Source organism: Homo sapiens, chromosome 1 (genome assembly GCF_000001405.40).
Source record: "Homo sapiens chromosome 1, GRCh38.p14 Primary Assembly".
In the NCBI taxonomy this organism is placed as follows: domain Eukaryota; kingdom Metazoa; phylum Chordata; class Mammalia; order Primates; family Hominidae; genus Homo; species Homo sapiens.
The window spans coordinates 94,464,929-94,491,302 of NC_000001.11; the positions used below are offsets into that span (position 1 = coordinate 94,464,929).

Below are 26,374 nucleotides of genomic sequence, written 5' to 3' on the forward strand. Positions count from 1 at the left end.
CCTGAGGCTGGGTAATTTATAAAGAAAAGAGATTTAATTGGCTCCTGGATCTGCAGGCTGTACAAGCATGGCACAGCATCTCCTCCACTTCCGGGGAGGCCTCAGGAAGCTGGCAATCACAGCTGAAGGTGAAGGGGGAAGCCAGTGTCTCACATGGTGAGAGAGGGAGCAAAGGGCCAAGGAGGTGCCACATACTTTTAAACAACCAGATACATGAGAACTCACTCACTGTCTGGAGGACAGCACCATGCCATGAGGGATCTGCCTCCATGACCCAAACACCTCCCACCAGGCCCCACCTCCAACACTGGGGATTACATTTCAACATGAGATTTGGGTGGAGACAGATACCCAAATTAAATTATTAAGTGTTCAACTTTCAAGGTTATGTAAGATTAGAACAGTAAAATCATAACACTTTGGTTATACTATAGGTCAAATGTTTTCTCTGTAGGTCAAGAAGATTACTAAATTTTTGTCTTTAAATCATCACCTGTCATACAAAAAACCTTGTTCAGTGCCAGTTTTTAAATAGTTTTCTCTTGTTTCTGAAGTATTATTTCATTTTATTTTATGTGAAATGCTAGGGTACTGCCATACAGCTACCCTAAATGGTGTTGCTTTGTTATAGTTAAATACTGTTGATAAACACTAGATTAAATTTCAAAAGACAAACCCTTTTATTACATTGAGATGTTAACAAGTCACATTAGTGTGGAGTATATTTGATTAAATATTTTTAAGATATGCAAAATGATATCTGGATTCATCAGTTATTTCATTCAGGAAGTGAGCTGCTTATACGAATAGTTGTATAATTCGTTCCTTTGCTTTTTTATCAAGATTATCTTCATTATTTGATAAACATTTTTAATGATTATTAAAATAATGCCGTATTCTCCATCTTCCTCAGCATTCTCTCATTCTGTAACTAGAAGTATCATTACCTTCAGCTCTTCCTCTTCCCCTTGTCACCCTTTTTGGTCACTGGGATCTGCTAATTTTTCCTATACTTAACTGTTACAAAAGCATTGCAGTTCCCAAAGAAAACGTACATTCCTTCATCATGCTGGATTTGCTCTTTCCCTCACTTTGGCATCATCTCCTGATGATTCTGCCCTTGAGAAATTCTTTTTTTAAAAAAAGTAATGACACTTGTTTTTTCCTAATTAGACAGAGGTAATACATGTTCCTTGAAGAAAATTAGAAAATGCAGCTAGATTTATTTTTTGGCACCTATCAGCCTCTTACTCGTTTTGATATATAGTCATCCTGTGTGCAAGCATATATTTTAATTTAAAAATGGGATCACACACTTTTAAGATCTGCTCCTTCCCTTATATTATAAATGTTCTTTCTAAGTATCCTAAAGTTTCTTATAAATTATTCTCTCCCTTTACATTCCTACTGTTCTCACTATATCTTACCTGGATTATTATATCTTAATTGGTCTTTTTGCTTCTTTTCCTTTTCCAATTTGTATTCTTTCTTAAAATCCTAATCAAAACATGTAACTTCATTTTCCTTATAGGGTAAATCACAACCTGACTTTGGCCTTCCTTTTAATACCATCTGCTTAGGAGATCATTGTTTTACGATCTGGCCCTATGTCCTCAGCCTTTCATTTGTTTACAACATCATGTCTGTGACATCCTGTACGTCCCCACAACAAAAACAAATATGTTTTTAAAAATTGCTTAATGCTTATCTTTTTTGTGAATATTTCCAGTGACTCTTCAGGCATAACTAATTGTCCTGCCTTTGAAGAATCCTTATTTAAAATACAAGCTTCTCTGGAAAGATGCATATGTTACCTTCCAATCAGTTAACAGCTTAATGTTCATTTTAACTATTGCAGGGGTTCAATGAATGTAAAACAAATTTGAAACATTGGATGAGTCCCTGGGAATTAGTAAGGGAGGTAGAAGGGGCTAATTTGGCCAGCTTCCCACCCTCTGCAGGCCTTCTTCCCTTACTTTAACTTCTATGTCACTGTCTTATTGTTCCAATTTAGAAAATTTAAGATCAGCTTTAAATATGTGTACTTGGGGTTGGGGTGGCAGGATTCTCATCTCACAGAAAGATAACTGATTCCCAGCCAGTCACCCAGCATCTTGACTTTCCCTGCTTCGTAATCTGTCTTGCACAGCATTGCTTAAGTAATATTCTTTAAACATCACTTTTTAACATCACTTTTTGTTCTACTGAGAAGCTTGCGAGAATTTTATGTGTGTAAACTCAGTACAGTACCATAGTTCATATGATTTTAATCCCTTTTTTCCCCCATTAAATCCTTCATCTTTTTTACCTTTAATCCTCATTCTCTTTTTTGTTTTACTGTTTATCATATTTCTAATGCCATAACTGTCTTTTGCTACCCCAAACCTTCCCATCCCACAGCTTAGGACATGAAATGATACAAATATGTTTGCCTAAATTTGTCTGCTACTTTTTATGTGTAACTCTTCCCTTCATAACTAAATTGAAAGCCCTATGAGGGCATGGACACTATTATAAATTTTTCTAACAAATTAAACCAAATTTATTCTACCTAGGCAAAATTTTAGGCTTCAATTTTGGTTAGTTGTATAACTGTATATGTGCAGTTACTGTCATTTTTCTTTGTTAAAGTTATATGTCAAAATATAAGAAAATCAACAATACACTATGATCTAGGTAATCTAAGTTACATTCCCAGCTTCTGTCCTTGACTAGGTATATGAAGGCAAGTCCTTTGACCTGCCTAGGATTCACTTTTGAATTCTGAATGAGAAAGATTAAATGAATCTATGAGGCTTTTTTCATTTATATAATATTCTTGCGTTCCCTTTAAACTATATTTAAAATTACTTATAGAAAAAATGTCAGCCAACTATATTGAAACTTACATAAAGCTTTAGATTTGGAAACCAAAAATTGTTACCAAGGTAATATTTCTTTGAACTTTCTAAAATGCATGTATTTAATTTACTATACCTGGTTTATTTTAGACAGGTTACTTGGTACTTATTGCTGTTATGCTGGTGTCTCGAACATATTGTGATGTTTGGATGATTCAAAATGGGACACTAATTGAAAGGTACTTTTTCAATCACCTTCCTCCTATATGTATGAAATGCTAATTTGTCTCATATTTATGCATTATCTTTATAAGCAACAAATAGATTCTAAGTTAGGTAAAAGATAACCCAAGTCAAATTATGTGTTTGTTCATTTACTTAAAAAATACTTAGTGTTTCCCATGTGCCAGGCAATGTGCTATACTGTGATGGGGTCTATATGCCAGCAACTAGGAGAAACTGTACCAAGCCTTGCTGAGCTGACAGTTTATCAAGAGTTAGAGACAGGTAGACAGAAAATTAAAATGCAGCATAATAAGTGCTGTAATGGGAATTCTAAAAAACCACCAAGTTGGATTTTTGAAATTAATGAGATAATTTGGAGGAAAATTTCAAAGCATTTCAAAGAATCACGTTGAGCATGTTTATTAGAAGGGAAGACAATTCTTAGACATTTCTTTCTGCATCTGGTGATAGTGCTTTTTATATTTTTTCATTATAGTCTTTCTACATATTATTAATCACTGCAATTGCTAATTTTGAATGTAAAAACGTAAAAAATGTCAGTTGGGATATCTTGGGTTATAACAATTTACCATTTATCTGTTAATAAAGAATTTATTTTTCATAATACCAATTAGAATGTCAGAGTAAACATTTTTGCTAGGAATTTTATTTCCTGGTATGCAGTATTTTGTCAGAAAATTCCTTAAAGTATTTAATCTAAAATAACTTTTTGAATGACAGTACTTAAAATTGTTAAATGCCCCAACATTTTGGAATAAAGGTTTTTTTCTCTTAGATTATTGATCTGCTTCTTAAAGATTTGTAGGAAGAGGAAGAATGCTTTATGACCATGCTCTCTGACTCATTTCTCTAGGACAGTAAAAAATCTTGTATGTATAAGGATTAAAGCCTTGAATTACATACTTCTGAATATGGGTAAATTATGTAGGCCCTCACATTCCACCCAAGTCTCCCTGAAACCTGTGGTCAGTCCTGTGCCTTTTAATTTTAATCAAAGTAATATATGAATGTAACTTTAAAAGTAATACATGAACATAGCTTAATGTCAGATGTTCTGCAGGACTTAATGACAAAACACATGAATTCCTTGGCTCCTCTCACTCACAACTGTCATTACGTGGAGCCGGTCTTTTTTCCTATTCTTTTTACTGCTTCATCTCTTATTTTGTGTCTGTGTTTCCATATTGCATACTTGTATTACTGTTCATAGATTTCTCAGTTTCAAGAGTGTAAGTGTTCATTTCCTACTTTGGAAGGTGAGAATTAGCTCTTTTACACTCCCTCCGTGCTCATCTTCTCAATGTTTTATATGTATAATAAAAATTATATAATTTTTGGTTAAATCACAATTTATTGTTTACATGATTTTGACTATTGCTTACAGCTGAGCCACATGGCATACTTTGGTAGTTGCGTTTCCATACAACTTTTTGTTTTTCCTGGTGTTTACAAATTGGCAGTTATTTGTGCACATTAGTTTTTTTTTTTTTTTTTTAAACCTACTTCCCCCTAATTCAGTTTGAGCTTTTTGACAATACTGAGAAATCTTCTCAGTATTGTAATATGGTCAGACACCAACTAATCTATCAACTTCATCTTTCTATTTCCACCCCCGCCCTATACGTTTTGTAGTTTCCAGTGTTCTTGCCTTTTTTTTTTTTTTTTTTTTGAGATGGAGTCTTGCTCTGTTGCCCAGGCTGGAGTGCAGCGGCGCGATCTCAGCTCACTGCAACCTCTGCCTCCTGGGTTCACGCCATTCTCCTGCCTCAGCCTCCTGAATAGCTGGGACTACAGGTGGCCACCACCACACCTGGCTAATTTTTTGTATTTTTAGTAGAGACAGGGTTTCACAGTGTTAGCCTGGATGGTCTTGACCTCCTGACCTTGTGGTCCTCCCGCCTCGGCCTCCCAAAGTGCTGGGTCTTCTTGCTTTAATCAGGATTGGTTGCATTTTAGGCCCACTGAGTAGCAATCACGTTTGAATTTGCTTTTATCATTATTTTGGGAATTTCTTTCATCTTTGTATCCTGAATTAAATAACCTGTTTCTGGATTTTTTGTTTTTCTCTTCCTCAGTTTACTTTCTCGTTTTGGCAGATGCACTCTTTTTCTGAGTAAGGATGAAGGGAGATAAATTTTTGAGACCTTGCAGATCTGAAAATGTCTTTCTTCTAGTCTCATACTTGATTGATAATTTAGCTATGTTTGTGCATTCCAAGTTGGAATTCACTTTTCTTCAGAATTTTGAGAACATCACTCTGTTCTGGGTCTCAACCTTGGCTGCAGAATGATTGGAATCATCTGGAGAATTTTAAGAATTATGAATGTCTGGGCCCCACCACTAGAGATTCTGATTCAATTAATCAAACCTTTTTGAAGCATCTAGTGGATTCTGTTGTGCAGCTCCAGGGTGGGTATTGAGGCCTCTTGCCATTCCGATTGCTCAGCTATAGCTGGAGATTTGTTCCTCCCTCAATCTCCCCCTCAATCTTTTTTTAAAAAATTGTTGATGTTGTATTACTGGATGTTTGAAAATTTCACTGAACATTGGTATGAATTTTTTTTTTTTGTTCATTGTGCTGGGCACTAGGTGAACTCTTTTTCCATCTAGAAACTTATTCTTCATTTGAGAAATTTTCTTGTGTTTAAAAAGAAATTATTCCTCCATTTTTTCTGGAATTCTTATTAGCTGAGTGTTGGAGCCTCTGGACTGATGATCTGATTATCTTATAATTTCTCTTCTATTTTTGTCTCTGCCATTTTATTTTATTTTCTAGGAAATTTCTTTATTATCCAGTGAATTTTTATTTGTTATAATTTTATTTCCAAGTTATCTTCTATATGGATGTTCATTTTTATAGCAATCATTCTTTTAAGTATGCAGTATTTTTTCACCTCTGAAGCTATTTAAGTTTTTAATGTGTTTTTAGCTCCCTGCATTTTTTGTTATTCTGTTGTCATTCACATTAGAGGCCTTCCTCAAGCATTCTGTGACTCTTGGCTGTGAATTCATATTTAAAAGTAAGTGCCTTAAACACTTACTAGAAGCTGGAGTTGAGAGCTTGTTAACTGGTCTCCCTTGAAGGGTGTTTGTAGGGGGACCCTAATCATGTGCACGTGTGTGTAGTACTCAGTTTTAAAATTTAATTATGAAATTTTAAAAAATTGTTTTTCATTTTTTGTATGAGTTTCTGAACCATTTTTTAAAACCATTATTTTGGTATACTTTACACTTACAGAAAAGTTGAAAAATAGAATAAGGGGCTGGGTGTGGTGGCTCATACCTGTAATCCCAACACTTTGGGAAGTTGAGTCAAGAGGATCACTTGAGGCCAAGAGTTCAAGACCAGCCTGGGCAACACAGTGAGACTTCGTCTTTACAAAATATAAAAAAGTTAGCTGGCTGTGGTGGCACATACCTACAGTCTCAATTACACGGGAGGCTGAGCAGAAGGATCACTTAAGCTTAGGGATATCCTGTCTCACAAAAAAAAAAAAAAAAAGATTAGCATAAGGAACTTCCTTATATTCTTAACCCACATTCACCAATTGTAAAACACTCATTTTAAAGTTGTTAACTTTCTCCTAAATAGTTTTGAGCCTCTGCTGTGTATGAAATTCTTTAATATTTGGACCTTATCTCAAAAAAAGTTTTAAAATATTGTACATTCGTACAGGATAATTTTATTTGAAAAGTTAACATATATCTCCATCTCAGTATTTAAGCTACAGTGCAAATTGATTTATTTATTTTCTCTTTTTGCCTTTTCTAAAGTAAGTCCAGATTCATGTATTTCTGCTAAAGAAAGCCTCAAAGAGACTTATTATGGTCCTTAATGTACTTCATTTTAATATCCTTTTCATATTTTAAGCTTATTTGTTGATGGTGACTAATGACTTTGGAGTATGGGCAAATCTTAATAGGAAAGACACCCTCTTTAAGGTAGAAACTATACTAATTCCATGACATGGAGGAAAATTCTTCATACCTTGTTGCTGCTTTATCTAATCATAAAAATATATTTTATTTTCACCCATTTGGCTACAAGCAGAATTTAAAAATTACCAAACTCTCTTTTATAAAGATTCTTAAACATTTGGAAGTTGTAGTGATTAGGGCTATTGTAAAATTGTTTTTTGTTAATTATTTTTTTTGCAGTGGAATAATAAGCAGAAATAAGGCTTTATTCAAGAAACCATTTTTTAAATTTATAGCTGCTACTCCAATGGTAAACCATTGCTGAATGATGGCATGTTCTTGTGTGTTTCACAGCTTGGGCAGCACTAAAGCACTTTGGTTTTAAGTAAGGTTTGGTTCAAACAATTTTAACATAAATTCTCTGAACCTTTTGTACTGTCTTGATTGCTTAATGTCTGTAATATTCTTATTGCTATAAACAACATTTTTGTGTGGTTCTATTTAACTTTCTTGTAGTTAGCGTTTTTTTTTTTTTTAACTGTTTTACTTTTTAGGGGCTATATAAACATTGGAGTATTAATTTCTCTTAATCAGTCTAAAGGAACATTTCCCAAAGTATGTTCTGTGGAATCTTGGCTATGATAGAGGAAATGTTTCATGCTACAAACCCCTCTCAGAGAGTTAAAATGCACATACTATACATTAAAAGCTTTGAGAAGGTCTTTGGTAAAGACATTTGTTAGATTTGTTTAACCTAGGATTTCCCAAATTTATCCATCTAGTCCCTCACAGAAAAGAAATTATTTCTCTAGTCATATACTAGTAATTTTTGTGTGTGCGTGGGCAGCTAGGTTTAAACCACTTAGTCCAGTGTTTAAATGTTTTATATAAATATGTCTTATGAAATTTGGGAACATTATTAAGTATTACTTGAAGTAAGAGTTCTGTGATCAAATACATACTATCTTTGTATTAGGTCATAGACATATCTTACTCAAAGATCCTTTACTTATATAATACTGCTTTGTTCAAATTTTTAATAAAGTTTTAGAACCCTTTTTAAAAATTTTTAATGTATATTTTAAAAGCAGAAAAATATGTAAAACAGATTAACAACAGGCAAAAGAGAAGCTAGTCTAGCTGAAGTGTGTTGAGGAACATGAAGCTTCTGTAGATCCATTCTGGGCTCTGATCTATGCGTTAGTCCCAGTATTGGCAAACTAGGACCCACAGGTCAAATCTCACTACCTGCCATCTGTTTTGGTAAAGTTTTATTAGAATACAGCCACACTTCTTGGCTGCTTTTGTTTTACAGTGGCAGAATTGAGTAGTTGCAGCGGAGCCCTTAGGGTGCACAAAGCCTAAAATATTTACTCTTGACCCTTTGCTGATCCCCATTAAGTCTGTCTCCCTGCCATTAGTTCACACAAATGAGAATCAGATTATTAAAATATTTTAAAACAAACAAATGGTACTTTGTTTATTCATAATAACCCATTCCTGGGACTATAAAGTTGTTAATTGTTATGCTAGCTTAGTTTCTTTTGTAGCCACTTAAGCCTTTTTTTAAAGCAGCCATTTTTACTAAGAAATAATTAGTTATCATTCTGTTTAATTTTGCCATTTGCAGGATGAGGTTCCAGCAAGTTCAAAATGATGACATTTTAAAGTTGCAAACATGTTTTTGCAAAAAAGTGGTTTTTAGCATCTTTTTTATTGATTGTTTTGATTTAATAGAAGTTTCCAAGAGTAATTTTAGAGCTTTACAGAAGTTTTCCTAGTGTTAGATTTTGCTTCTTTTGCAACTAATGCATTGCATGTGGTGGTTTGCAGTGGTATCATTGGTCGTAGCAGGAAAGATTTCAAGAGATACTTACTCAACTTCATCGCTGCCATGCCTCTTGTAAGTTTAATTCATTAAAAATCTTTTTAACACGGGAAATTTGCATCTTATTAAAATCTTTAAGGGTTTTACTTATTAAATTCTTTAAAGACTTATGATACTAAGTTCCTATTTTCAGTTTAGTTTTGTAATTTATAATATAATTTTCAATGTAAACCTTCATACTAGATAAAAAAGGGATTATGTTTGGTTTAATTTCATTTATAATGTGTATATATATTCATATACATATGTATGTGGGTGAGGGGTTTTTTGGCATTTTTTTTTTAACCTTCAGTCCAGGTTTTCTTCAGTGTTTAGCATCATCAATGACCATTAGATAGCAGTAGCACCCTTCTCCTAGTTCTAACAACCAGAAATGATTCCAGTCATTGCAAAATGGGTATGGGCAGGGGGCAACTTGGGGAGTTGGGGGGATTTAGAGGGGGGAATGCAAATCATCCTGGTTACTTTAGGCCATAAACTATTACAGTAACTTGAACTACTAATTTACTTTAAGTTAAATTGGAATTTATGGTCTGAATTTTTTACAGATAAATTGTTTAGTCTAAAATATAAGTGATTTTCTTAGGTTGGTTCTCATTTTAATTTTCTTGGCGCTGTAAGAATGTAATATTCTGAATTTGTGGGTAAAAATGAGAAGCTTGGTTGTAAAATCCAGTTATGTTGAAATTGCCAGAAATTCTTGTTTAATAAAGCTGGAAGCTGGGGCTACATAGCTTTTAGACTTTTTAAAATAAACAATTGGAATAAGCAACATAGATATCAAAGATTAAGATTCAGCAAAGACCACTTGAGAAAATTTGTAATGTAACGATGGAAAATGTTAGTAAAGATGGCTCTAGAAATAATCTGGAAAATAGCATTAGTTGGTGTAAAACCTGTAGTGTTTTTTTTTTTTAACAAATGCAAATATAGTGTATATAGAATTCCGTTGTCTAGGGTTGTAGTGCTGATAGTAGGAAACAGAAAATATAAATGTCTGAACTCCTAAAAGCAAGTCTTTACATTGGCTAGAAAGGGGATATATTTGACTTTTTGCCCGTTTACCAAAAAAAATGGGCAAGGTATGTCGCGTAATTAGTGATATTAACATATTCCATGTAAACTTTAACATAGAATAATTCAAACGAGGTACATTTGGTTTAGCTAAATGCAGTAAAGTAAAACAGAACTGAATTATATAAATTTGGACTAAATTATAAAAATTGTAGGATTTGGGACACAGGAAATAATAGAGAAATAAATTATAGTTTAGTAAGCAGAAATGAAAAGCAAAACCAATAATATTTGTTTGTTTGTTTTAGATCTCTCTGGTTAATAACTTCTTGAAGTATGGGTTAAATGAGCTTAAACTGTGCTTCCGAGTAAGGCTCACTAAATACCTCTATGAGGAGTATCTTCAGTAAGTGATAACCTATTTTTATATTAAAAATATTTAAATAGAAGAGTATTTATGAAGCTGATCAATATAGCAGTTTTTCTTATTTATTGTATGTTTTCTAAGAAAACCACTCTTAGGTACAGAAGCATGTTGGGAACAACCTTTCAGTTATTTGGAATCTAGTCCTGGCTCTTCCATTAATTGACAAGTCATCATTTTCTGGACTTGTGTCCTCCTCTCTAAAAATCAGTTAGGGCAATCAATAGGATCTCTTCTGGCTCCAAACTTTTTTGTTTCTATGTATTTGAGCTAGGTGGTGTAATATGATTTTTTTGTTGTTGTTTTATCTTTAAAGTCACTTGTTTTAAAATCACTTTTCTTCTTGCTATTTTAGAGCTTTCACATATTATAAAATGGGGAATCTGGACAACAGAATAGCTAATCCAGACCAGCTGCTTACACAAGATGTAGAAAAATTTTGTAACAGTGTAGTCGATCTGTATTCAAATCTTAGTAAGGTAAGTTTCTCTCCTTTTTAAAAGATTATTTGTTTAATTTTTTGAATTTTGAATCTAAGCAAATTTATATAGAATTGATTTTGTGGACATAACAGCAGCATGTAAATATTTAATGCTTTTATAAGAAAATTAGAGTTGTTGTAATAGTTTTAATTATTTTAATTTTTTCTATTATTTTTGTGAGGTACTTTGGCAAAGAACTGATAATTTAGTGTCTTATAAGGATTTTCTAAGAATTTTGCAGGTTGATTCCATTAAAACAACAGAAATTTGAATTCTCATCTTTTGACCTGTGTGCATCCGGCCATTGTTAGAGATTGACTGTCAATTTATGTTTCTAACTCCACACTTATAACACTAGACTAGGACTTCCTTTCTGCCCATTTCTCTGCTTCAGTATCTTTAATTCTAATAGATCATTAGTAAGTAGTAGTCAAAAAATTTCACAAGATGCAAGTATATTTCAGTTTTCTAATTACTGTTTTTCCCATTCTCCTCAGAATATTGCCAAAGCTCCTGACTGTGATAGGCCTTAGTCAGTTTTCCTTCTTCTCACTGATTTCTCCAGTTCTTATCTTAGTCATGTTATCTCACCACCCTTACAGCTTTTGCTGTAGTCTTCTTATTAAACCCTCTTCTTTGCCATTACCTCTTGCATTGACTATGATATGTAGTAGGCACCTATAAAATAGTCTGCCCAGCATCCCCTCCCCTCTTCATCTGAGATGCTTCAGTTCCCACTCTAACTCATGTGACTTCCCTTGGTGTTGGCTAGGAGCTTGTCTCATACTGGACCAATGATAGTATCTTTGCCTCTGGTCACAGTTGACCTAGATATACAGTTTTGAGACAAAAGAAAACCAAAACTATAAAAAGGACTGGGTCACATTGTAAGAATAGGAATGTTCTTGCTTCAACCAGATGGATGGAGGGAAGGCAATTCTTAGAGATATATATCCACAAGAGCTGCTCTCCTCATGCCCAGGCCCAATGCTTTTCACTTCCAGCCCAACTTTGTTATTTATTTAGCTCTCCAGAAGCCTTTGCTAACTGATCCCAAACTCGGGAACTCTGACAACTACAAATAGTTCAGTAATTAAGCTTTCTTTTCTGTTCCCATTACCACATTTGAAAGTTTGTTCTCTCTCTTTCTCTCTCTCTCTGTCTCTGTGTGTGTATGTGTGTGTGTATGCATGCATGCATGGTGGGAATGGGGGGTGTATCTATACAACTTTCCATGTAATTTTATAGACATTATTATGTATTCTTTAAATCTTGGCACTTGAGCAAGTCTCAGGTTTTGTCAAATCTGGAATACAGAAGAATATTAAATTAAGTACTTGTAGTGGGGCTGTACACCAGTGTGTAAGTTAGATGTTTTAAACATCTAATTGACCTCCAACTTAAATTATGAGTCATTATTTTTGTCATAAGTTTTAACAGTTCTTGAATTTTATAAGTATCTCTAGCTTCTTGATAACTTATAAGGCAAAAAAAAAAAAAAAAAAAAAAAAAAAAGGAAAGGGAAAGGTAGATGTTGAAACAAGCCAGTTAACAAACCAAGCCATCTATCCTAGTAATAATGTGGATTAGAAAGTGCTGGCTGTTGGCCGGGCATAGTGGCTCATCCCTGCAATCACAATACTTTGGGAGGCCAAGGTGGGCAGATCGCTTGAGCCCAGGAGTTCAAGACTATCCTGGGCAACATGGTGAAACCCCATCTACAAAAAATACAAAAATTACCCAGGCATGGTAATGTGCGCCTGTACTCCCAGCTACTCCAGAGGCTGCAGTGAGCCAAGATCTCCAGCCTGGGTGACAGAGCCAGACCCTGTCTCAAAAAAAAAAGTGGAGGTGCAAGCAGTGGCTGTTGACTTAAAGTGAATGAACACAATTTGTGTTTCTTGAAAAACATTTCAAACTAATGCAGCTGATGGTGCATTAGTTGAGTTGTCTCTGTGTGTAAAGAGCAGTACATTAATGTGTTATTTTGGTTCTAGAGACTTGAGTTTTATATCACAAAATTAGATTCAATGGCTTACTTGATTATTTTGCCATGGAAGTGATAAAGTAATAGAGTCAAACAATATTGGAGCAGGAAAAGCTCCTCACTTTACAGGTGAAGATATGTAGAAACAAACTGGTAGCAGATTTGGGGTTACATCTCAGGTCATTTTATTCAGTGTCTTTACATTATATTGACACATTACTGAGTTACTAGTGGTTAATTATCACAGTAGAGGTATCTTAGTTGATGGAAAGTGATAAATGTTTTTCCTACTTGATGGTCAGTAGACATTGTGTAAGCTGTTCCCATTTTAAGTTTCTTGAGAGGAAAACTGTTATCTTTCATGTATTCTTTGATCTACTTACTATCACAGTACATTGTACATAGTGGGACCTCTACATGTTGATAATTATATATTAAATGTTTAATGACATTTTATAGTTAACATGTTGTATTAGCTATCATTCTAGTGCTTTAGTTTTAATTCTGTGTATTCTAATATTTATTTTACAGCCATTTTTAGACATAGTTTTGTATATCTTTAAGTTAACGAGTGCAATTGGAGCTCAGGTGAGTCTGCTTTTATTTCAACTTTTAAATTGATATAATATAATATTTGAAATACATATTGTGAATAGCTTGATGGCCTGTAAGAATTTTTGTAGATCTCAAAGAATGTATTTTCACATGATTTACCTAACAAAGTCTGGTTATAAAATAATACTTCATTCGAGATTTTAGAAGTACTAATTTTTCTTTTTAATTTTCCTTAAATTAGGTACTTGGAAAAATTTTGTGGCATTAAAAACCAGACAAATGTATTGGCCAGGCGTGGTGGCTCATGCCTGTAATCCCAGCACTTTGGGAGGCTGAGATGGGAGGATCGCTTGAATCCAGGAGTTCGAGACAAGCCTGGACAAAAAGCGAGACCCGCTTCTTTAAAAAATAATAATAAAACAGAAGTTCTTAAACCATGAATATACTTGTACTTATTGTTTCAAAGTAATGTCTAAAAAGAGATATGGAGACATCCATTTTAATATGAAATTCTAATGTTAAAATAACGATACATTTAGAGTGGGTGTAACAGTTCCAAGAATATTTTATAATGTAAATGGTTGGCTATCCCATGAGCCTTATTATCCAAGTCTCTGATATTTGTGATGGCAAGAATCACTTTTAAGTTTTCTTTGAGTTATCTTATTGAAATGTAACTTTAGTCATTTAATATGTAATGTTATTGTTACATATTTATAACACAGCCATATAATAGTATGGTTGTTTTACATATGTGTATGTGTGTATATGCATTTCAGTTGATTAATAAATTATTTCCATACTGGTTTTTGTTGCTTTCCAAAACACTGGAAAAGCAGGGTTTTGGTTTTGCTTTGTTTTGTTTTTCGAATTTTTCTGTTTATTTTCCTAATTCTTTGCTGTCTTGTGATCCAGGTTTTATCATTCTTGTATTTTGTTTTACTATAACCAAGTGAATAGGCCAAATCCTTCTTGTCTCCTTGCAGTCATATTTTTATGGTACTTAACTACATTTTTGTGATACTTAAATATGTCTCCATGTCTACTTGTTATCTGATTCTGCATTTCTTAAAGGCAGAAACTGTTTTAGTTATCTTTTTGGTCCACATTTGTAGTAGTTGTTGATATGCATTGAATTGATCAGATTTACTTTTTTTTTTTTAATCTTGAATACTTACTAGCACATATATTGTGCTAGATAGTAGGAATAAAAAGATAAGTAAGACACAATTCCTGCTGAAGAGGAATTACAATGTGGTAAAACAGGTAGATAGTCAAACAATTATGATGCAGCATGATAAAGTTTAGTAATAGAAGTTTCAAGAAAGTATTTAGTGCCAAGAAGAACTGGAGGTGATATCTGAGCTACTTTGGGGAGGTAAGTAAACATCCATTAGATTATGTCAGGCTTGCCAAACATAAGAACAACCTCACTGAATGGAAACTGTTCAGGAAACATTTATATATTTTAGTATGGCAGAGTATAGGGTATATAGGGGAATGAGGGAAGTGCCTATGATGAACTTGGAAAGGTATGCTTCAAGCATACCTTTCTTTTTCTCTTGGGATGGTCAATGGGTGATGAGGTCACGTACAAAGTTATTAATACATAGTACAGCAGCTGGAAGCAAGATGTACACGCAGGGAAAGACAGAGCTCGTTCAGGGGGAGCTGAACTTGAGGCATCTGCACAGTATTAAGGTAAAGATGTGTAGTACTTATTTCTTGGGTTCATAAGAGTGATAGGACTAGAGGTATAGATTTGAGATGAGAAGAGAACTAAGGAAGGAGTTTGAGGGAATATTAACATTAAAAAAGAAGGCAAGAAAAAGAGGTCTAAGAATTATTGTGGAATCTTAAGAGATTATCAAGAAGAGTTCCAACAGGAGAGTGTTAGATAACATAGAAAAACTGTGAACTGCAATTAGGAGTTTTTAGGTGAGCAAAATGTAGGAGAGCTGAGGGATAAGCTACAGTGGTAAGAGGAAAAGCCCATGAGTAGTAAAAGTGTAGAGGCTACTGTGTACTTTTTCAGAAAAAAAACAAAGGGAAAAAATTACCCAGTAGGGCAATTTCTTTCAGTCATTGAGGTTAATTATAAAAATTGTACATGTTTGTATCTAAGTGAATTTATTATTATATCCCAGAACTTTGTGTATCTTTCTCTCCCAATAATAATAGGGCCCAGCGAGCATGATGGCCTACTTGGTTGTTTCTGGGCTATTCCTAACTCGACTTCGAAGACCCATTGGTAAGATGACAATAACTGAGCAAAAGTATGAAGGAGAATATAGATATGTTAATTCTCGGCTCATCACAAACAGGTAAAGACAAATGCATTAAAGCCTTGCTAAAAATTAATTTCTATGGATATTGATGTCATTTAAATTGACTCCAAAAAGTCTAGTGACACTGTTACTGTAATAATGTGCATATTGTGTTGAAAATATACATTATGAAAGAGACTAGTTTTATAAAGTAGTAATCATGAATATTTTGAACTCTTTTTCTTACTAACCATGTAGTATTCCTGATTCACCTGTTCATACCTTCTGTTGATGAATTTTCTGTTAATTTTACTTCAGACATAATCAGTTTACAATTCAAATTTCAACTTACAATACCTGTTCCAAGACAATTTTGTCTCAATTTTTCCACAAATATTTTTATTTTGACTGTTCATAATGCTCAATGATTCACTGTCACTGCATGTGCCTCTACCTATTTTCTAGAGTTTTTTAAATGTAAGATAGGAAGAAAAAGTGTGGACTTTGGAGCCAGCCATACTAGCTTCAAAATCTACCTCTTCCACTTATCAGTTGCATGTATTTGATTTTAGCGAATTATTCATAGTTTCACTTTTGTTTATAATAGGTAGATAATATAGGGTTGCAATGAGGATTAAATTTGATAATACATATAAAGCTTCCAGCTCAGTTTTTTATATGGAGCAACTGCTCAATAAATGTTCTCATATATTGATCTGTTAATGTTAAGTCATTTTGAGGGTTCTAATATGTATTTAATATTCTACTCTATAGGCATTTGCAAATGACAGTTCCCTCTTCCTTTATTTCCTTGGATTGCTAAAATAGTACAAGTTTTAAATAGGGTTTTTTGCTCTAGGGAGGCAGCGGAATAGAGTTAAGAGGTGATTTGCCAAGTAAATGAAAGATGCCTTTTAGTGAAAGAAGCAGAAAGCATGACTCATGGCTCCAGTAATAAGAACACTCACTGCTTCACGTGAGAACCCTTAAGACAGGGCAGTTCCAGGTATGGCATTATCAGGGCTCTGGCTCTCTGGTGTTCTCTTGGCTCTGCCCTGCTTTGTATGCTGCCCCATTCCTCGGGCTAATTCTTCTTGTGACCACAAGATGGCGATAGCAGTTACAGATTTCACTAGCTCCTCTCCCCTGCAGAAAGCTCCAGAAACAAAAAGGGGCCATCTCGCCTGGTGTGTCTTTATGAGAGCAAAGAAACCTTTCCCAAGAGTCCCACAACTGACTTTCCCTCATATCTTATTGGCTGGAATGGTTACTTGACCATGCCTAAAGCAATCACAGCAAAGTGATTGGCTTAGACCAGTTGGGACCCTAAATGGGGTTGAGGCATTCCTAAAGCATTAGGGTACATGGAAAATAATAGATAACTTTACAAAAGTTGGGATTATTTTAGGAAGAAGAACAATGAAGAGAATAGATGTTGGATGGGCAGCCATCAATATTCCAGGATGTTTTATCCTTTCAGATTTTTCATTAAGGCTAAAATGACTCAGTTCAGGAGGAGAATCCTCACCTCATCTTCTTCCATAGGCTTAGGTGTGGAGAGGAGATAGAAGGAAGTTTTTTTAAAAAGTAATTAGAGGTATAGAATTGTAGGCTTCTTATACTCTTGAGTCTCTGTCATTGTGTCAAGGAAACCATGAAACGCGTGACAAATGTGTCATATCTTATGGGAAGTTAATTTTACTTGAAGTGGTTGAGGTAGGTGGTACCTTGTTTTTATGAAAAACGCAGGTCCATTTCAAAATAGAAATATAAAACATAAATTGTTTAGGGGAAAAAAGAGACTTTAAAGAAATATTTCAACCTTGCCTTCTAGACTTCTCTATAAATATTTTTCTCTGCCATAAGAGGTACTTTGCTGGGAAAGCTTACATCATTCCTGTGTAATAGAAAGACTATAAATGTTAGGGTCAGATAGGAGTTATGATTTCAGCTCCCTGACCTGCTGGCTCTGCAACCTTTACAAATTTACTTAACTACACTGAACTTCTCTTCATCTATAAAATACCTTTTTTTTCTAGTCGTGATCCCTGTGGCCCTTGTGGACCCATGCACATCTGCTCAGGAAACGTGGAATTGTTGTGAGGATATGATGGGGTTCCAGGGTTTCCTCCTGGGAGCTGGCACTTTGAAGCCGGTGGGACTTAGCCTGCTTTTCTGTCTTTAAAAGGCTGTATGTCAAGTCATCACTATCCATCTTTTTCTAGCTGTTGCTTTTTCATCTCTTTCTTGTTTGGGCCTGTACTTTAACTTGAAGTCTGCAATGTTGGTCCCAGCCCTGCCTTTCTGTACATCACAGCAACTTCTTTCTCTAATTTCGAATTTCTGAGAATTCGTGCAGTATGTCTTTTGCAGCCAGGATACCTATGCCATAGGTTGCAGTCCAGCATATGATTCAGTCAGGAGTGTATTCCTGTGCTCCGATCAGCTGAGCTAGGAACAGAATCTCAGGTATAGACTGTGGCTTGAGATGCACCAGATAAGCTCTTAGTCACAAAATGTCCATTTAAATACAAACATTCAGCCATCATATACTGTATTTCAATTATTTTCCAAGCATAGGTAACATTAAAATTAATTGCTAAATTATTTTCTTTAATAGTGAAGAAATTGCCTTTTACAATGGGAATAAAAGAGAAAAGCAGACAGTCCACTCAGTCTTCCGAAAACTGGTAAGATAACACACTTGAGGTTCATGTGTTTATGGAAAGGGTTTTTTTTGTTTGTTTGTTTTGCCTATGGCCGACACACATACACACACACACAAACACACACGTATGTATACATATCTTAAAGATTTTTTGAAAAATAGCTATAAAGGATTTTATACTGCATTTTTAATAAAAAATATGAGATTAAAAACTATCATATCAATATATTCAAGTGCCCATTTATAAAATTGCATAGATTTATTAAAATAATATTAAGTGTACCATCTGATCTTTGACAAACCTGACAAAAACAAGAAATGAGGAAAGGATTCCCTGTTTAATAAATGGTGCTGGGAAAACTGGCTAGCCATATGTAGAAAGCTGAAACTGGATCCCTTCCTTACACCTTATATAAAAATTAATTCAAGATGGATTAAAGACTTAAATGTCAGACCTAAAACCATAAAAACCCTAGAAGAAAACCTAGGCAATACCATTCAGGACATAGGCATGGGCAAGGACTTCATGTCTAAAACACCAAAAGCAATGGCAACAAAAGCCAAAATTGACAAATGGGATCTAATTAAACTAAAGAGCTTCTGCACAGCAAAAGAAACTACCATCAGAGTGAACAGGCAACCTACAGAATGGGAGAAATTTTTTGCAATCTACCCATCTGACAAAGGGCTAATATCCAGAATCTACAAAGAACTTAAACAAATTTACAAGAAAAAAACAACCCCATCAAAAAGTGGGCAAAGGATATGAACAGACACTTCTGAAAAGAAGACATTTATGCAGCCAACAGACACGTGAAAAAATGCTCATCATCGCTGGCCATCAGAGAAATGCAAATCAAAACCACAGTGAGACACTATCTCACACCAGTTAGAATGGCGATCATTGAAAAGTCAGGAAACAACGTGCTGGAGAGGATGTGGAGAAATAGGAACACTTTTACACTGTTGGTGGGACTGTAAACTAGTTCAACCATTGTGGAAGACAGTGTGGCAATTCCTCAGGGATCTAGAACTAGAAACACCATTTGACCCAACCATCCCATTACTGGGTATATACCCAAAGGATTATAATCATGCTGCTATAAAGACACATGCACACATACGTTTATTGTGGCACTATTCACAATAGCAAAGACTTGGAACCAACCCGAATGTCCATCAGTGATAGACTGGACAAAGAAAATGTGGCACATATACACCATGGAATACTATGCAGCCATAAAAATTATGAGTTCATGTCCTTTGTGGGGACATGGATGCAGCTGGCAACCATCATTCTGAGCAAACTGTTGCAAGGACGGAAAACCAAACACTGCATGTTCTCACTCATAGGTGGGAATTGAACAATGAGAACACCTGGACCCAGGGTGGGGAACACCACACACCGGGGCCTGTTGTGGGGTGGGGGCCTGGGGGAGGGATAGCATTAGGAGATATACCTAATGTAAATGACGACTTAATGAGTGCAGCACACCAACATGGCAAATGCATGCATATGTAACAAACCTGCACGTTGTGCACATGTACCCTAGAACTTAAAGTATAATCAAAAACATAAAAAAAAAATTAAGTGTATTTTTACAGAGGTTGCTTAGGAGCCTTATTTAGTGATTCCCACAGAAAGAATTTGTTCCTGAAGCATTCATGAAAATACAATAAAGATTATTATGTAAAGCAAGAGTCAGCAAACTTTTTCCATAAAGGGCAAGATAGTATGTATATATTTTAGGCTTTTCATACCACACAGTGTCTTGCAACTATTCAGCTCCGCTACTCAAGAGTAGCTATATATAATACATGAATGAGTGGGTGTGGCTATGTTCTAATAAAACTTTACTTAAAAAAACAAGTAGCAGGCTAGATTTGGACTATGGGTCAGAGTTTACTGGCTTTTTGTTTTAAAGAATATAAGCATTGTTTCTTGTGAAAGCTTTACTTCAGTTTTTATTTAATTGCCACTTGGAAAATTTGAATTCAAGTACTTTTATTCCATTATTTATTCAAAAGATATTGAATGCCGTCTAGTTGCCTGTGCTCACTCCAGGTGCTAAGGATGATGGTGGTGGACATGATGGATAAAATCTTGCCTTTAAGGAGCTTACATTTTAGTGGAAGTCTGAAGTTTGTGAAATTAAATGTATATTTTAGATGAGTTAAAGAGGTTAAAGAAATTGTCATTTTAAATTATTTCAGAAATTGGATTTTTGCCTCGTCGGTATTTAACATGGCAGAACTTTTAGAGTGCTCACTGGTAGAATGCATTTAAGGTAATTTTTCAGGGGCCTGCAGTTCACCAGTTTGCTCTCCACACGGCTTGCTTATTCTCATCCTTTAGATTTTCAGCCCAAATGTTAACACCTTATTGAAGCTTTGTCTTCTCTGATCAGCCTATTTGAAATGGCCTCCAACAGTTACTTCTTGTTTTAATCATCATCTTTCCTTAAAAGTATATATATATTTGCAGTCAACCCTCTGCATCTGTGGGTTCCAAATCCATGGATTCAACCACACAGATTGAAAATATTCAGAAAAAGAAATTGTGTCTGTACTTATGTACACATATTTTTTTCTTGTCATTATTCTCTGAACAATACAGACATTAGTGTAATAGCTATTTACATTGTATTAAGTTTTATAAGTAATTTAGAGATGACTTAAAGTGTTTGGGATGAGCCAGTTGCGGTGGCTCACCCCTGTAATCCCAGCACTTTGGGAGGCTGAGGCGGGCAGATCAGTTGAGGTCAGGAGTTCGAGACCAGCCTGACCAACATGGCAAAACCCCATCTCTACTAAAAATACAAAAATTAGCCGGTTGTTGTGGCGGGGGCCTATAATCCCAGCTACTCGGGAGGCTGAGGCAGGAGAATCACTGGAACCCAGGAGGCGGAGGTTGCATTGAGCCAAGATGGCACCACTGCACTCCAGCCTTGGCGACAGAGTGAGACTCTGTCTCAAAAAGTAAATAAAGTGTATGGGATGTCGTACTCAGGTATATGCAAATACTATGCCATTTTTCATCAGGGACTTGAGCATCCATGGATTTTGGTATCCAGAAGGTCCTGGAACCAATCCCATCCCCTTTGGATACCGAGGGATGACTGTATTACAGTCTCTAATTATCTTGTTTACTAGTTATGCTCTTTCATTAGAATGTAAACTCCATAAATTCAGGGACCTTCTCTGTTCTATTCATTGTATCTCCAGCTTGAGCACAGTGTCTGACACATGGTAGTCATTGAATAAATGTTCCAGAGATTGTCTAGTTGCAGAAGATACCAAGTTGTTAACAAGCTACCCTGTACTCAGGAAGCCACATTTTAGTGGAGCAGACAATAAATAAACAACTAGATGTTCTGTATAATTTCAGGTAGTAATGAATTCGGTGGCCAAAAATGAAGCAGGATAAAGGGATAGATATGAAGGGGGCTATTGCCCAGCTACTTTAGCTGGAATGGCCAAGATCTTTCTTGAGGAGGTGACATTTAGTCAGAAATCCACATGAAAGTGAAGGAGTCACAAAATATAGATACCTTAGAAGAATGTATTCCTGGCAGTGAGAAGAGCAAGAGGAAATCCTTAAGAAGGTACATGTTTGAGAAACCGTTATTTCTGGAGCTTGGTGAGGAGGAGCAAAGTAGAAGCATATGACCTTAAAAATAGAGCTCAGTGCCAGATCATGCAGGACCTTGAATAATCTGGTAGATGGACAGTTTGAGAACACTACAACTCCAGAATAAAAAAGCAGTTTTAGACTTGTAGTTTTAAGACAATGCGTGCTCATGTTAAAGCTAAAACTGAGGCTGTGTGGCACTGATTTACATTAGCACTCAGTTCAGATTGGGTGTAATACAATTCTTAGATAAAGCACAGACCATGTGTCTCCACTGAAAGCAAAGCATTCAGTGCCAATCCGGACAGCTAGTGTTTCACTCAAACTAGTTAATCTCTGTTCTTTTTGCTTTCGTTGTTGTCCTCTTTTGGGATATGTGTATCCAAAAGCATGGTGACTACAATAGCATTGTGCTATTGCATGCAAGAGAAACAGCATTGTTAAAATTGTTTATGTAATTTCCATGCTGTTTGCATAAAAATGGTTTCATGAAGTGTTTGTTTGGCACCCGCTCTGTGAAGAGCATTGTCCTCGGTGGTGTGATGTACAATATAAACAGAATATAAACAGAAATCACGGGCACTCAGTAAATATTTGTTGAATAAATGAACTATACAGTTTGTTTTATCCTTATAGTAGATTCAGTTTTTTATACAGAGAAAAAGATGGTTTTTTGTTTTTGTTTTCTGCCAGGTGGAACACCTACATAATTTCATTTTGTTTCGGTTTTCAATGGGCTTCATTGATAGTATTATTGCCAAATGTAAGTATATTTTGAAAGAGATGAGATTTGTGGAAAAGGTGAAATACTGTTACTGTTTTAAATCTTACCTGTTTGGTTTCAGACCTTGCCACTGTTGTTGGTTACCTAGTTGTCAGTCGCCCTTTCTTAGATTTGTCTCATCCTCGACATCTCAAGAGTACACATTCGGAACTTCTAGAGGTAAACTGATGATAATACAATGAAAATGTAACAGTAAAAATAAAGCCAAATTTTTAGTCATAGAACTATAAGTAAAAACTAATATTTATTTCTATTTAAGGATTACTACCAAAGTGGAAGAATGCTTTTGCGAATGTCTCAAGCTCTGGGTCGAATAGTTTTGGCTGGGCGTGAAATGACTAGATTGGCCGGGTAAGATTAGTAATAATGAGCTGTTGCAGAAAATAATTTTTAAAAATATATTATCCTTAATGATTGTATCAGTTGAGATTAAGATAAGGGGTCAACATTTCCTAGCCCAGGAAGGTGGTTTTGATAGAAAATTAAGGAAGATTTTTCTGATGGTGAACTTTTCATGTTTCTTGAGGACAGCTGGTTTGCGCAGTACAGTAGATTAGAGGCTGTCAAGTTGTTTGCTCCATGGACACGTATTTGCTAAGTTGGGAAATGTTGAATCATGGCAGTCTTAATTCACAGAAAACTATGTTTATGAATAGAATTTTCTCATTTAAATTTTCTTGTCCTCTACCATACCTTTTTTTCTTGGATCTTAGATACCGGCAACCTAGCAAAACAGATGAATAGAAATGAAGTTGACTTTAATGGGAAAAAAAATGAGATGTTATCTTGTATCTGTAGGCGTGCTTGTGAATGTAGTCATATTATCTAGTAGTAAAATTATCTTTAGACAGTAGAATGAAATTAAATATTAAGATTTCAGTATTTCAATCTCCAATATAAAGGGCATGGTATGGTGTAAAAAACACCATAAATTTTAGGTCACCTGAAGAAGTTTGATGACTGAATATCTTTCCTAGGCCTGTGATCCATCTTCATATTTCTCTTTTTCCTCCTTCTTAGCTCCTGTGGCAGTTATGGTCTTCATGCAATATAGAAGTTGTTAACTACTATGAGTAGAGTCTCTTTCATGAGAATACTAACATTCTTCCTACTTGTTAACTTTTCTTATGGCTTTACAGTTCATGGTATATAAGGTGCTTCTGTTCCTTTAGGGTGTTTCCTTTCACTCTCTCTCTCTCTCTCGCTCTCTTTCTGTGTGGGTGTGTGTGTCTTTCTCTTTCACTCCCTCCCTTCGTCTCCCTGCCCCCCTTTCTTTCTCTTTTTTCCACTTTGTTGAGGTATGATTGACATATAAGAAACTGTTCATATTTAGTGTATACAATTTGATGAATATGGGAATAAGTTATACACGTGTGAAACCATCAAGACCATAAACATTCATCACCTCCCAAAGTTTGCTTTAGGAGGTTTCTGCTTTTTATTCAGAGAAAAATCCTGTTTTCTTCTTCGATGCAGAATACTTTCTCTTTGGCGATCATGGTCATTTTTGTTATCTCCAACCTCTTGTCGTTAGTTTTGATTTTTCTCTATTGCCACAGTGATTTCTATCTAATAATAAGAACTCATCATCTTTCCCCTCTTCAGAGTAAGAAAGAGGGAATCTTTCAGATTCTTCCGTTTGCAGGAAGGCAGCATGCATTCGGCATACATTTAATAAATGCCTTCCTTGGATAGAAAGACCAGCTTTATACATGGCTTTATAGGTCACTTCAGCAAGAGATCAGAGTCCATACTTCCTGGGTCTAAGGAATATACTAGTAGTGGTCCTTTTGTAGTATCCAAGAGAAACCTCCTGAAAATTCTCAGCAAATAACTGCCTTGACTTGGCTATTAATGAAGTATCTGTTGAGTTGGGGATCCTATGGAAACCTCTTCCTTCATCCCTATATTCCTGCTCTCCTACTGAAACATAATAAAGCACACATGTTATCATTAATACTTTATGTTGATGAGACTGTTAGGTTACTTCATTTATACTAAATTATAATTTTAGGAACTTCAGTTTGTATAAAATAAAAGATGTGACAATAGTCTGGAGTTTTGATTATGGTTTCCTTTTCTAAAATTTTAGTTTTACTGCTCGGATTACAGAATTAATGCAAGTACTGAAGGATTTAAATCATGGCAAATATGAGCGCACAATGGTCTCACAACAGGAAAAGGGTAAATATGAGTGTCACAGTTTAAGGTCACAATTTTAAGTGTTTGCTGACATAATATGATGCTTTAATACCTATTTTCCATTTAAGGTATTGAAGGAGTACAAGTCATTCCCTTGATACCTGGTGCTGGAGAAATCATTATTGCAGATAACATTATAAAGTACGTACAGAAAAAGGTCTTTTAGCACCATAAATGTTTGTTAAACTTCATAGTAGTCTTTCTTTTTCAGCTTACAATTGCTTAGTGTTTAAAATTATTTCTGCTTTTTTAAAAAACAGCTTAGAGGTATCATTGACCTAAAAATTGTGTATATTAATATTTAAAGTATGCAACTTGATGCTTTGATATCTGTGTATGTTGTGAAATGATTACGTTTTGGCTAATTAATTTACCTATCGCCTCTACATAGTTAACCATTTTTGTGTGTGTTTAGTGAGAATTTAATTTAGATGTGTCTTAGCAAATTTCAGGTATACAATATAGTATTTTCTACTATTGTCCCAGTACAGTGGATCTACAGAATTTATTCTTCTGGCATCACTGAAATGTTGTGCCATTTGACCAATATTACCCCCATTTCCTCTCTCTCTAACCCCCTGGCAACCACCGTCCTACTCTCTACTTCTATGAGTTTGACTATTTTAGATTCCACATACAAGTAAGATCACATAGTGTTTCTCTTTTTGTGTCTTGCTTATTTTGCTTAGCATAATGTCCTCCAGATCCATCTATGTTGAAAATGGCCCAGTTTCCTTCTTTTTTAAAAGTGGGGTAATATTCTATTGTGTGTATTTTGTGTGTATGTGAATATATACACACTGTACACACTATATTTTCTTTATCCTCTCATCAGTTGAAAGACATTTAGGCAGTTTCCATATATGGACTATTGTAAATAATGCTGGAGTGAACATGGGAGGAAGATTCTCTTTGAGATACTGATTTTATTTCCTTTGGAAATGTTCCCAGAAGTGGGATTGCTAGATCATACGGTAGTCCTAATTTTAATTTTTTGAGGAACATCCATATTGTTTTCCATAATAGCTGTACTATTTGTAGTCCCACCAACAATGTACAAGGTTTCCTTTCTCCACATCTTTGCCAACACTTACCGTTTGTCTCTTTGATAATAGTCATCCTAACAGGTGAGAGGTGATGTCTCATTGTGGTTTTGATTTGCATTTTCCTGATGACTGAGATGTTGAGCACCTTTTCGTATGCCTGTTGGCCATCTGAATTTCTTCTTTTAAGAAGTGTTTAAGCTCTTTGCCCATTTTTTAATCAGGTTATTTGTATTTTTGGTATTGAGTTGTATTAGTTCCTTATATACTTTAAAGTAATTCTCTTTTTAAAAATTTCCTCTATAGGTTTGATCATGTTCCTTTAGCAACGCCAAATGGAGATGTTTTGATCCGAGACCTTAATTTTGAAGTAAGTTTTTAAATGATCATATAAAAGCTTAAATCATCTTTAAAATGTGAACTGA

The 26,374-nt window shown here is 35.0% G+C and overlaps 1 protein-coding gene across 9 annotated transcripts in view; it reads left to right on the forward strand.

Annotated features, from left to right (window-relative positions):
* The window catches only part of ABCD3 (ATP binding cassette subfamily D member 3), a 133,533-nt gene that overhangs the window by 79,798 nt on the left and 27,361 nt on the right, over window positions 1-26,374 (forward strand). For 6 of the 9 annotated variants that reach the window (XM_047426556.1, XM_006710802.3, NM_002858.4 and 3 more), the window contains 13 exons: window positions 2,991-3,079; window positions 8,838-8,907; window positions 10,215-10,312; window positions 10,686-10,809; window positions 13,331-13,387; window positions 15,536-15,678; window positions 18,242-18,311; window positions 22,614-22,683; window positions 22,766-22,863; window positions 22,964-23,055; window positions 24,797-24,888; window positions 24,975-25,047; window positions 26,256-26,319. In XM_047426556.1, coding sequence (XP_047282512.1) covers window positions 2,991-3,079; window positions 8,838-8,907; window positions 10,215-10,312; window positions 10,686-10,809; window positions 13,331-13,387; window positions 15,536-15,678; window positions 18,242-18,311; window positions 22,614-22,683; window positions 22,766-22,863; window positions 22,964-23,055; window positions 24,797-24,888; window positions 24,975-25,047; window positions 26,256-26,319 — 1,140 coding nt within the window. The other 3 variants (XM_011541877.2, XM_047426559.1, NM_001122674.2) reach the window with 3 other exon arrangements.